Genomic DNA, 12,959 nt, shown 5'->3' on the forward strand with positions numbered 1-12,959 from the left:
CGGTGGTGGGAGGGAATTGGAGGACAAATTACTTTTGATATTTTCCAAGTCACATTTAATGGTTTCATACTGGCCAATTCTTCCCCAAACCCACCTAGCTCAGGAACTCAAGTCTTTCCAACCAAAAGATCAAAGTAAACATTTCTGCTTTCAAAGTTTTATTGAGATGTTGGGGAAAAACAGCCAACATATACATTCCTCATTTCGTCACAACTGGCATTTGATCCACATTCCATAGGCTCCTCTCTGGCTTTGATCTAACATCAGGTCTCCTTGGCAGTTCCCCTTCTGCTGTTCTTGTTGCTGCTTGGTGCTGTGTGAAGCGCACCAGGGCAGAGCCCGCTGGGGGCTCACAAGTGGGAGCGGTAATTGCGATTGGCTGTGGGAAAGGACAGGTTTGCAACAGAGACACGAATTAGAACATTCCCATCAAGACTCTTGTTGCTCAAATCTGCATTTAGTTATTGGAAATAATCTCAGGCCAAGATTTCAGGGTCCTGTGAGAGCTGCCTCCAAGAGGGAGGGCCTGGCAGCAATGTGTGCCTAAGTTTGGCAATCTCCTCCCCATCCCTCACTCACCGTCATCGCCCCGTTTCCTACTTTTCAGGTTGCCCTTACGGTATTTTCTTTTGCTGCCACCTCTCTTGACTCCCTTGTGAGGAGATCGGCTCTTGCTCCTCCTCATGCCATGACTCTTTAATTTGCGGCTGGTCGACATGGTAAGTTCTGCCAAAATGAGGGGCTTTGCAAGGCCCGGGGGCCAGGAGTCTGGGTATTTAAGGCCTTGGCCATTGTGACAGGGAAGGGGCATGGCTCAGCAGGTGGGCGGGGCTCTACTGTGCTGTCACTCACCTTTGCTGCACTTTGGTCACATTTGTGAAATAAGGTGGTCCTTTTCGTGCAGCTCAAGGGCTGCCCTCAGTTTTGAGGTCCTTTTTATGTTAAGTGAGGCTTTCCCAGAGAGGTGTTATTGAGAAACTGAATCCCAGCCCTGTGCCAGGCATTGGATGAGTACAAGAGACCATTCAGATATGCTTCTCCTGCCTGTAGGAAATGTAACAGTCATTGAGTGTGTGTGTATGCATGACTGTTTAAGTCTCTCACAGCATCCAGAGATAATAAATTTATTTCTGTAAGGACTTGACTCTACAGAACCCAATTCAATATGATCAAAATAGAAATATTCCTTCTTTTTCATCTAGGTCAGGATTTCTCAGTCTTGGCACTGTTGACACAATGGGCAGGGTAACTTTCAGTGGGCTGTCTTGTGCACCCTAGGATGTTTGGCAACATCCCTGGCCATTACCCACTGGACACCAGAGAAGCCTGGCAGCTATGACAACCCAAAATATTCCCAAACATTGCCACCTGTTTCTTTGGGAGGCTGGGGAAGTGAGGGAAAAAATGGCTCTGGTTCAGAACAATTAACCTAATCATTTTTTAAAATTCAGTCACAGATATTGATCACATAGCATATGCCATACATTTAGGTGGTAGAAAATTAGTGGAGGATAAACACACGTAGATACTGTGCTCATGGAACTCTCAGCCCACTGGGGAGAAAGCCATTCATCAGATGTCTACATAAATCAGTGAGTAAGTACTTACGGAGTCATTTTGGCTGGAGAAGGGCAGAGGGAAACTCCCTACATGGTACAGGATGAGGCTGGAGGGAGAGACAGAGATCAAACCATGATCAAGTACATTGGGAAGCCTTTAAAAATGTTAAGAGGATGGCATGTGAGATTAGAGGGTGCCAAGTGGGTGATGTATTGACTGGAGGAGCTGTGTAAAGGGAGATGCTACTGTCAACATCAATGGTTCAGCAGAGAGAAAGATTTGATGATGGTTTAGGTCTGGCCAGGAAAGGTGTTGATTGAGATCTAAAGTAGACAAGAGACCAAGGCTTGGTGACGGATTGAATTTGGGAGGTGAAAGCAGATGGTGTCAAGGGTGTGGCTTTTGTTTCTGTATAATGCAGTTATCTGGATGCTGGTGCCATTCATGGGGATAAAGGCCAGACATGGGGAGAGTGATGATCATGTACTTGGTATAAGACATACCAGCTTTGAAGTGCCTTTGACACTTACAAATAGATATATTGAATGATTATTGGTGTATAAGTCATCCAGCCTTTCCTTTTTCCTCCATTACACCTCATAGTAAATGCTTTGCTTTTGAAAATGTTTCTTTCTTTTTTTTTTTTTGAGACCGAGTCTTCTCTTTTGCTCAGGCTGGAGTGCAGTGGCACAATCTTGGTTCACTGCAACATCTGCCTCCTGTGTTCCAGCAATTCTCCTGCCTCAGCCTTCTGAGTAGCTGGGATTACAGGCGTGTGCCACCATGCCTAGCTAATTTTTGTATTTTTAGTACAGACAGCGTTTCGCCATGTTGGCCAGGCTAGTCTTGAACTCCTGATCTCAGGTGATCTGCCCACCTTGGCCTCCCAGAGTGCTGGGATTACAGACGTGAGCCACTGTGCCCGCCTCATTCGGATTTCTATAGAACTTGTTTGCTATTTCTTCCATTTGTCTCTCCTCTCTCCATTGTCATTACCCTCATTCAAGAACTGAGCATCTTGTATGCAGGAGATCCTTAGCAAAAGTTGGTTGAATAGAAGAGCGAAAGTAGTTCAAGTCCCACTCCCTGGTTTTCTGATATCTATAGATGGCAAATTGAGTTTTGAAACCCAGATTCCTTGTATAGCCACCATATGTGACACTTTCCATTTTCCTGCTTCTGGGCAGGTCTCTCTGGAGACCTTCTATTGGTGACTTGTTGGTGACTTTTATTCACATGAAGAAGTTCTATAAAACAGGCTGCTGGCTTGCTTGTTGGTAGTCCAGACCTTCTGCGTCCACTCAAGGCTGGTTGTTTCTCCTACAAACATGCCCCCATGAAAGCAGGGACCTCTGTGAAAGCAGGAATTGAGAAATTGGGCTCACTACTGAATATTCCCTGGGAGTTCATCAGTCCTGCCACAGAATAGAAGCTCAGTAAGTATTTGTGAAATACATTTGGTCAATGAATAAAAAGTCCTTCTTTTATTTTTCTAACTATCCTGTTCCTTCCCATTTTGCCCCACATCTCTAAGGAAGACTTCCCAACTTATCAAATTTTCACTGTCCTTTGAAACTTCTTCAAAGTTTATTGTCTGTATAATATTGGCTTTAAAGTCTAGACAACCAACCCTAATTGTGTGAAATCATGTTTTATGCCTGCATTGCCAGCCATGTGTGTTAGACTGGTTTCAACAGGAGGTGGTGTGTCTTCATTCTGGTCCTGACTGGACTTCTCTGGTCGTTAGCTCCCTTATTCTAAAAATAAGCAGATTGGGCTAGGTGATCTCTGAAATGATCTGACTTTGGCGATAGCCTCCTTCTCGTTAGGGACTGTACCTTTTATTTCTACTGCATTTTCCGCAGGTACTAGCATGGCCCACACTAGGTGGTCAGTAAATATTTGTTCAGTCTAGCTGCTTTGGTATATTATGAGGACAGACAGTTCAACACAATCACAGTGACTTTGCATAAGTGGGGCCATTTCAAGGCAGGGAAGAGAGAAGACATTGTCCTCACAACAGGTCCTCTGGTGCTCTGTGTCCACCTCTCATGCCTGAAACCATTGGCTAAAATGTTTACAGAGGAACTGGCCTCTTTGGTTTGAGAGACATTTTTCTGGATGGTCCTGAAGGCTGGATACTATTTCTCTCCCCAATCCCTCCCACCCCCAAAAGATCTGCTCTGCCAAGGAGAAGCTGAGATCACAGGGAAGAAGGCAGCCAGACTCGGGAACTGATGAAGAAACAAACAAAAAAGTCCCCTTTGCCTAGAGTTGAGGAGCAGTTCTGGTTCCAGACACCCATGCTGAGAAACTTAAGCAGCAGAAAACCCAGTGGGGGACGGGGAAGGCGATTCACAGGCCACTCAAGAGTGGGGTGTGGGGGGTGTTTGGGTTGGCTCCTGTATCGGACCTCCTGGAGTGAGGATGGAGCAGGGCTGAGCGTTGGTCTCTGCTGCCTGTCTCTGTTTCTCTTCCCATTTCTGCCCCAGTGTTGCTCAAGCTAGCAGCAATTTAGATAGAGCCTAGTGAGCTACTTCTAACCTTTAGCAGGTCCAGGATGAGGCCCTTCCTTGAGAATCATCTGTTAATCCAGTCTGCTCCCTGTCTCACCATTTTGTTTTTTTCTGCTATCTTTGCACAGAGAGGACATATGAGTGACTTCAAATAACTCAGCATAGGACTAACAGGGACAGCCCCATAAACCTGTTTCCTTTACACCTTAGCTTCCCTGGTGGGACTCAGCTTTTTTTTCCCTTAATGAAAGGAAACGACTATGTTCTGAACATTTTTGGCACAGAAAGAGAGAGAGCTAAATTCCTGGCCTTTTGAGAAGAGACACTATCAGCCTTTTCTTTTCTTGGGGCTCAGTGAGTTCTTGCCTGGAGAAAGGTAAATGGACAGGATGGTGTCTGTATCTCCTAGACGGGTAGCTAGGGTTACAGTGCAGGAAAGGGCTTGGAGGCCAGTGCTCTCACTGGTCCCTTTCCTAGGCTAGGAGGGGTAGCCTTAGGGTGTCACTGTTTTGGAAGTCAGATCTCTAGTTAGATTCCATGTCACTTCTCCAATTCAAACTCACTCCATTAATTTTCCCGGGGAGTCCAGTGGATGCCTTCATAGGGCCGGATCTTCCCAGCAGGCTGAGACTTGGGGCTTATGAAGAGGGAACATGGAAAAGTTGCTGACAGTCCTTATACCTGTCGATGACTCAGTCTGAATCCCTCTCTGAAATCTAAGTCTCTCCAGATGCTGACCTCGGCTGGGAAGTGGGGACCTTTTACCCAGTTCACATGCACACCCTGTCTTCTCTACTGTTGTTATTGCTGCTGTTCAAACAGGCCAAAGGGGCTTGGGGACAGGCTGGAGGAGGGGAAAGTGGCTGAGAGAGGTGCCTCACCAAGGGGCAGAGCTCTCTGAACTCAGAACACATTCACTGTCTTCAGTAGGGAATAAGAAGAGGCCAGAGACCAAGGCCAAGGGGTGGTTTGCAGAGCAAAAGGGAGGAAGGATCTTACCTCCGTTCGTCTTTTTTCATCCAGTTCTGGAGGTACAGGGAGCATCCTGGTTCTGAGAATGGCCTGGAGTCTGCCTGAAGATTTGGTGGTGTTCTTTCCCATTTTTCCGTCAGGCTTCTCTCCTATTCTTTCTGCTGCATTCTCAAATTGTTTTTCAGTAAACAGTTTCTGTTTTTTTCAGGGGGAGAGAGATTGGGGTGCTTAAAGTGGGAGATTTATCACAAGAGCAGTGGTCATGGGAGGCTCTTAAGGTGTACCTTGTCCTGCTCCTTTGGGAGCCAAGAGGCTTATCTCGGGAGCCACACCTGGGCAGTGGAAGAGCCAGGATAGCGACAAGTTTGCCGACCCCAGGCCAAGGACTGCCTGCTGCACCACAGTGCCTTCCCTACTCAACTTAAAAACAAACCTGTCCTTGAGTCTCCACTCTATTAGCCTTTTCTTTCATGCATGCCTGCTATGATCACAGTGAAGGAACCTAATATTAAAGAGGGAGAACTGGAAAAAAGTAGTCCTTAGAGGCAGGGCATGAATTTGGAGGACCTCTGGACAACTTTCAAGTTCTCATTCTGAGAGCACTCAAACTTTTCGTTTGCTTTTAATTATTTTTGGATTTCTGAAAATTGACTATTTCTGTTCCCTTTGTCTTTCCAAGTCTCACTAACAATAAAACTACATGGTATAATGGTGCATAAAGAAAATTCAAATTGTGTGCTTCAGAGGGTTCTAAATAAAGTTTTCACATTGACCACTAGCCACTTTGCTGCCTTCCTTTATCCCCATCTATAACATAGTAACAAAAAAGATATCCTTTTCCAGAATACACTGGAAATATAGTTCCATTCAGCTGTTAAGATAAAAGTAGGGCTGCATCCCAGGGTGTTAGAAAAGGGTGTTATGGTACAAAAATATCACACATATTAAAATCATTTGGCCTCATGTGGTCAAGAATAATATGTTTTAATCCATCCACCAACGGGAGTAAGGAACTTTGAGTTGGAGCATTGCTAGAGAACAATTTTATAATAAATAGGCCTTGAGATGAAGGGTAACAGACAAAGTCACAAATCATAGGCAAAGTGAGATCTCAAACCTAGATCTCTTAATCTCCAGTCCAGGCTTCATGCCACTATACAATGATGCACCACAATTATAATTTCTGGCCTCTTGTTATTTTCTGTGCATTTGGTCTGCTTTTCTTTTTTCCTCTTGTGTGCTAAGAGCCATGTGCAGGGGCCTTGGCCCTCTTAAAATCATCCCACCTGCCAAGGGCCATCAGTTCACTGAGTTTTAGGGCACCTGACCCTTTGAAAGGGGGGAAAGAGTTGCCATCAAGGGTGGAAAAGGACCACAGAGACAGGTTGAGGTTGCCACACGTGAAGGTCAATGGCTTCATAATTGATGATTTCATAGCATTGTGACCATCAGGCTGGTAGAGTGCATTGCATACAGGAGCTCTGACTAACTCTACTGACCAAGGCTGGGCCAAGAGAGAGCATCACAATCAGCCCTGCCTCTTTGACTTGGCTTGCCAAGCCTCTACTTCCTAGTCTTAGTGGCGATTGAGGGAGAAGAACAGGCAGATTCAAAACATAATTTTACTACATGTCCTGAAACTCTTGAGAGACAGAGCTGGCAATGAAGGCTTGCTTGACAGTGTCGCTGTCAGTTTTCCGCATTGTTCTTTGGGGCAGAATACTCATATTTGGGGATCTCAAAAAGTAGATTTAGTTGTATTTATACTAAATAAAAAGAAAAAAGTAGATCTTTTGCTGCTTTTTCTAATTCTAAAGTTCTGTGGTCCAAAGCACAAAGGTTTAGTAACACTTCCTTCTTCATTACATTCTTGTTCTGGGGGAGCAGATGGGACTTGCCTGGAGAAATGTTCAAAGCAAAGCCTTTGTTTTTAGTAAGGACCAAAGAAAGACCCAGATGCTTTTGAGTGTGGTAGTAATCAGATTTTAATGAGCAAGAAATTCCAGATACTGTGTAGCCTTATTATTATTATTATTTTGGTGGGGAGGAAATGTGGTAGGTCATACCATGGAGATGTTCTGGGGTTCTAGTAAGAACCGTGTCACCATGCAGAAATATTTGTTTTCTAAGACTACTGCAACAGTGAAAGTGCACTTTCTTCATGCTGCAAGAGAGGAAAGACAAAACTGAGGTTTAAAAGTCCCTGGTTAGAGCAGGAGAACCTCAGGAAGTTCTTCAGATGGGCACACAAGGCTAACGTGACATTTTCCAAATTTTCCCTTATGATTTTGTTACCTCTTTAGCTCTGGTTTGGCCTAGCTTACTTGCTACTTCCTGTGACATCTGCTTTCTTGTGGGTGTGACTAGCTGGGGCTGGTGTTGTGGGCAGTAAAGGAATTTACCAAGACAATCATAGGTAAAGAAAGGCAGATTTATTAGACAAAGTATGAAGGTATGTTGCAAGAAAGCAATGGGCAGCACAGCAGAGAAGGGGCTGTCTGCAAAGAGGCAGGGGCTAGAGGGGAGTTTTATAGGATTTATGTGCAGAATGAGGTTGTGCTGCTGGGTCTATCTGGGGAAGGAGGTCATTATGCCCACAGGTTTTTTGTGTTTAGCCATTTCTCAGAACAATTGTTTACTGTTCTCCTCCAACTTGGGGCCGGCCCTCCCCCCATCTTGCGCCCTTTCCTTGTTGTTGCTTATTAGGACTCCACATGCTCCAGATAAAAAAAATTATGTCTCCCCAGAACCAGCTACATAATTTGTGAAGTCCAATGCAAAATGAATATGCTAGCCTCTTGCTAAAAAATTATTAAGAATTTCAAGATGGTGACAGAAGAGCATAAATCTGGAATCAGTGTGGGTAAGTGGGCACAAGACCGTTTGTGATGCACAGGTCCCGTGACTATGAAGCCCACTCTGTCTCTCCTGCCTCACTTAAGACACTACTTATGGCAAATACCAGATAACTAAATTGAAAAATCCCTATCTTGTTTACCTTTATAATCCAGGAAAGCTGGTCAGATCTCCTATTCATAATGGGAGATTCATGAATACTTGCAAATGACTTACTTCATACTGAGGCTGTGCCATTTGCCTGAGAATGGACTTAGTCTCTTCATTACTGGCTCCATGACCATCTCCCCTCTCCCCTCCTCACATACATCCTCCATCCGTAGCTGGTACTACTCCTGTCTTCACTCCTCCTACTCTTACCCTCAAGCCTTGCCAATCACTGCCCTCTTCCTCTTCCTTCTCCTTGCTCTCCTTTAGTGGTACTTTCTTCTATGCTCCCGTAGGAAACTGGCTGAGTCCTGGGGTACATGCAGCTCTGCTGTATCCTAGTGTGGCTGAATGCACACACTTAGTGCTCATACTTACTGCTGGGAGATGTTAGGGGCCTGAAGGAGGCTTTCCAGTCATTTGCCTGAAGATTGTATTCCCAGCTCTGAGACAGAAGGAGCCCAGCTGCAGAGAATCTAGGCCACTGTGACTTGGTCTTCCCCTCTCTGGGATATCACAAAGGCCATATGAGGTCAGTGAACCAATCTACAAGAGAAGGGCTGAGCAGGGGACCTGAGATGATTTTCTCCAATATTTAGTCAGACTGATTTTCTGGATCCAAGTTTCTCAACTTACCAAATGTGGGCAAATCATTATATTGCTCCCAGCCTTAAAAATCTTCAATAAGTTAAAGAGAGGACTCAGGCTTAATGGCAATCCTGTTATCTTACCAATGAGGAGACTAAACACCTAGTTGGAGATCACCTCCTTACTGGCTCAGAGCTTCAGGAAATAGCTCAAGGATGTGCAAATACTAAACAGTAGAGCTGGGATTTAGATCCACATCTACTTAATTTTAGTGCGTATGCTCTAACTGCTGCCACAGAAGGGATGCAGAGGAAGACGGTCAGTTACCCAGAGGGTGATATCTTTGACTTAATGTTCACCATAAAGACAGCTATCAACAAAAGACTTGAATTCTAACTTGTTATCTATTGCAGGAAAGTGCCTGCAATATGGTAAGTTCTTTAGTGATATTAAGCCATTTAACCCAAGCCAGCAATGGAGTTGAAGAAGGGATAAGTTATAAAATACTGACGTGATTTATGTGGAGGGGTAAAGTTTTAATCCTAGTCTTCTGTCCTAAGTGAATAGTGAATGACTGCTGAGTAGATGCAGGAGCAGGAAATAGATGTGAACAGAAAAAAACTGGTTTTAGTTTTGCATAGGTTGAATGTCTACCAGAGAGGTCCCCAAGGATGCCCTGTAGACAAATTGGATAGAGGCATCTGTAGCTCAGAAGAGCAATTGAGGCTGGGGATGTAGTTTTGGGCACTGGCAAGGTAGAGTTTTGTGTGGTTGAATCTCCAGGGGCAGGTAAGATGCTCTAGAGACAAAGTTATGGGATTTATCAGCCATTGGGTGTTTCAGAGGAGAGAGCAGGGCAAGGAGACCGAGAGAACAGAAGAAAACTCAGGAAAGAATGGGGTTGAAAGTAAGGCATGCAAAACTGGAAGCTGCGACACTTGAGGTGGTCAGAGCACTTTTAGGGGACCTACTAAGCGCCAGGCACTGTGTGACCGCTTGAGGGAACCTCATCTCATTTCTCTGTCCTTACCTTAGGTGACTCCTGCAGAGCACCTGACAATCAGAGAAGAGTTAGAATACATTAAGCTCAGCATCACATATGTAGTTTGAATACAACTCCACCTCCTTCTCTTTCTTTCTCTTCTTTCCTGCCTTTGTTGCCCTACCCAGGATTAAAACCTTAGGTCTTATGTTAAAAGAATGACAAGAGAACTGTAGCATTCTCTGCCTCTTGGGCATCTGCAAGAGGTGGGATATTAGAGGGACACTGGGGGATGCTTGGATGATCACCTCCACCCCTCCACCCACTATGGCCTCAACATGAAGTTGGCCTTCTTGAAGTGGGTGAATCACTACAGCCCTTGTTCAGGAAGTGTGTTTGAAACCAGGCTTTTAAGGAAGAGAGGAGACGACATTTCTTGGGACCTTCCTGCCAACCTGACCCTTCTGGTTGGCACCACCCAGAGCTTCATTACTTAGGCCTGAAGCCCAGGTGTGTTGTTGGGCTCTTCCCCCTTTATGAGGCCCATGTTTCCATGATGCCAGGTGGCAGCCCTTCATCAGCCTTTGGACTACATCACTGTGGAGGTGGCTGGAGTCTCTTTTTTCATGCAAACTGCTGCCCAGTGAAACAAGATGTAGACATTTTGACTACAGCATTTCAATTTCCATATCCCCATCCCCAACCCCAACCTGGCTTTTTAGCCATGTCCTTCATTATTTCCTTCAGGCAACCTCTGTTCTAACCAAACTGGGTTATTTAAAAAGTAGAAAAAGTACAGGTCTTCATAGGAAATTCAGTGATTTGTACTATTTTTTTCATCTTCACCTATTAAACTTCCAAATGTGCTTCAAGACTCAAAACAAAGGCCCTATACTCTATGGTTACTTCTTCATTTGGTCACATTTTATATCTACCAGTAGAAGATGGCTTCTCTGGCCAGATATCAAGCTTCTTGAAGTTGAAGCTATATTTCTGTGGGGCTCTAGGGGATAGGGCAGGGGTAGTAGATTTAAAAAATGAACTGGACTAGAGCTTTAATTGTACTTTTTATCTTGATTTGTAGTAATGGTTTATGGGTGTATACCTAGGTCAAAACTTATCAAATTGTACACTTAAAATATGTGCAGGTTATTGTTTATCAATTATACTTCAATAAATTCACTTAAAAAGTGTACATTGTTCAAATCCTCCCTCAAGATCTCTTTCTAGAAGTAAGGCAATGAAACCAGGAATGTATGCCTAAATGTGTCAGCAGACAAAGGCTTTAAAAATGCTAGACTTGGAGATCAAAATATGCTACATGTACAATAAGAGCTTCTATAATTGTATATATGCCTTTCATGTATTTTCCCCTCAAGATTATCAACTGTGTGTTTGACAGTGAATATTAAATATGTTACCAGTTGAAATTTTTGGTTATAAATGTAATACGAATTGTTTCACAAACAAAACATGTAAAGCAGTATTAAAATTTGGCCAAACAAGTGTTCTGTATCTACTTTAATAAATGGTTATTCTTTAAAAAAAAAAAAAAGCTAGACTTGGGTTTGAAAGGCATAGAGAATTTTGCTTGGTTTCTGTAATTCTTGGGGGTTCCTATGGGCTGGCTGATAGGCAGCCAGCTGATTTAAGGAGTCCTACTAGGCATTTTCTTAATTTTATCCAACATTTCAGTACTGCCCCAACCACTCAACCAAGCTCTCATGTTGACTTTCAGCCATTGTGACAAGGCACCATCAATCATCATGTCCCTTTACCAGGAGGGCCCGTGTCATAAGCCACTATATAAAGGGAATGATGGGTGGACTGCTTTGGACAAATGGACCTGCGGTAGGAGAGAGGGACAACAGTAGGAGCAGGCAGATCTTGCTGTTTCAACCAAAACCTCATGCTGACCAGAGTTGAGGAACAGAAGAAGATGGTGAAGGCCTGCAGGTATAGGTGTTCAGCATGTCATCTGAAATATTCCCCACAGAGGCAAAAAGAAAGGAAATTATCTCTGAAAAGGAATGGGAGGACAAGGTATTGATGACATTTTCTGATTACAGAGGAGACTCTCAGGACTGAGGAATTGTCACCCATGCTTGGCCAATCTCCCAAACTGTCATGCCTCTGGCAAAAGCAAAGATCACCTCTCACCTTCTAAAGACTGGCCCCAGTACTTCTCTAACAATCCCTTCCCTCACCGACACCCACCCACCAATAAAAAACAACCACCCAACTCTCTCCCTGCTTCCCCACAAGTCCTGTGAAGAGCCAGGCTTTCTGTGCTCATGGCTTGTCTTCTTTGTGCTGTAGAGCCTCCCTCTAATCTTGTCCATGCAGTAAAGAGAGATCACACAAACCCTGGACCTACCTCTTTGAGGTGGTACTCTCAAACTCTTTGAAGGTCTGTATTTGATGGAATCTCTGGGAAACTGAGTTGGGAAGGTCCCTATATGAAAAACACGTGGGTTCTTGGAGTGTACATCTTTAATTTTCTTATTTGTCTCTTTAGTCAGCAGAATATGTCAATGTTTTGGTTGAAGAAGCTGCTTGAATCTGGGCTTTTCTGTGCCATGTGTTCTCCCAGGGCCAGCACAAAGAAGGGCTTTTGGTGCAGGCCCAAGACCACCATAATCATCATTGATTATTCCTCTCCACGCCAGTGTCTCTAAATAAACTTTCTCTTCTTTCTCTGACAAAGGTGTTTTTGAGTGTTACTGTTTAGCTGAAGAGTGACGTTGAGTGACCTTAGTACCCTAGCCCTTCATGTAATCAGATGGGTGTTGTAAGCAGAGGGAGAACCATGTGAGTCAGGAGGAAATATGTAGTTTACCCTTTTTTTCCTGTTTGAAAGATTTACTATGATGTTCATGGTTGGGCTTTTGTTTGGGATAAATTGAGATGCTTTCTGGATATGATAAGGGCTTATTTGGTTTGATAGACCGTCTAAACAAGGCCAGTGCAGGCTGAGCCAGGTGAACCACCAGATCACCATCAGCTCACACTTCTCATTCATTTGTTAGCAGAAATGAAGATGCTTGTTTTCCTAGAAACAAGCCCAGGTCATCCATCATGAAGTCCAGGAATTGTAAATGTGAGGAAGTGCAAAGACACAACGTACACTTACAAAGGCATATGTGCATTTGGAATTCTTTAAAGGACAACATCCTCGAGCTTCTCCTGGTAGTATACTCTAGATATAACGTAGTGTTTGGGCAATTTGGGATCAAATAATTCTTACAGCTTTATAGAATCCCTTGTGTAATTAAACTTGAACCTTGTATAACTTATGTAAAGGTACCAAATCATCTCTTACTCACAGCTTGCCTCCC

At 44.0% G+C, this 12,959-nt stretch overlaps 1 protein-coding gene and 3 long non-coding RNA genes across 5 annotated transcripts; 1 reads left to right on the forward strand and 3 right to left on the reverse strand.

Annotated features, from left to right (window-relative positions):
• Positions 1-141: 141 nt before the first annotated feature.
• TNP1 (transition protein 1) lies at positions 142-748 on the reverse strand. The gene is made up of 2 exons (NM_003284.4): positions 580-748; positions 142-379 (listed from the first exon to the last, which is right to left on the reverse strand). Exons 1-2 carry the CDS (start codon positions 716-718, stop codon positions 351-353), a joined length of 168 nt encoding a protein of 55 aa, NP_003275.1. The 5' UTR covers positions 719-748; the 3' UTR covers positions 142-350.
• A 189-nt stretch (positions 749-937) lies between these two features.
• LOC124906118 (uncharacterized) lies at positions 938-5,164 on the reverse strand. 2 transcript variants are annotated; one of them, XR_007088082.1, is made up of 3 exons: positions 5,076-5,164; positions 1,609-1,666; positions 938-1,044 (listed from the first exon to the last, which is right to left on the reverse strand). It is a non-coding gene; the product is annotated as an uncharacterized LOC124906118 (long non-coding RNA). The 2 variants fall into 2 exon arrangements; XR_007088083.1 differs by lacking the exon at positions 5,076-5,164 and adding an exon at positions 2,091-2,210.
• A 1,851-nt stretch (positions 5,165-7,015) lies between these two features.
• LOC105373876 (uncharacterized) lies at positions 7,016-8,493 on the reverse strand. The gene is made up of 2 exons (NR_135525.1): positions 8,265-8,493; positions 7,016-7,212 (listed from the first exon to the last, which is right to left on the reverse strand). It is a non-coding gene; the product is annotated as an uncharacterized LOC105373876 (long non-coding RNA).
• A 2,962-nt stretch (positions 8,494-11,455) lies between these two features.
• Positions 11,456-12,323, forward strand: TESHL (testicular germ cell expressed HSF2 interacting lncRNA). Its single transcript, NR_130782.1, has 2 exons — positions 11,456-11,664; positions 12,140-12,323. It is a non-coding gene; the product is annotated as a testicular germ cell expressed HSF2 interacting lncRNA (long non-coding RNA).
• The last annotated feature ends 636 nt before the right edge of the window (positions 12,324-12,959 follow it).

The sequence above is a fragment of the Homo sapiens genome, chromosome 2, assembly GCF_000001405.40.
Source record: "Homo sapiens chromosome 2, GRCh38.p14 Primary Assembly".
NCBI lineage: Eukaryota > Metazoa > Chordata > Mammalia > Primates > Hominidae > Homo > Homo sapiens.

What these genes read in the sequence shown, in the direction of transcription:
- TNP1 (NM_003284.4), bottom strand. Translation starts at nt 718, where the DNA reads ATGTCGACCAGCCGCAAATTAAAGAGTCATGGCATGAGGAGGAGCAAG. An exon ending in TAGGAAACGGGGCGATGACG is followed by an intron (nt 380 to 579) that starts GTGAGTGAGGGA and finishes CCTTTCCCACAG; the next exon opens with CCAATCGCAATTACCGCTCC.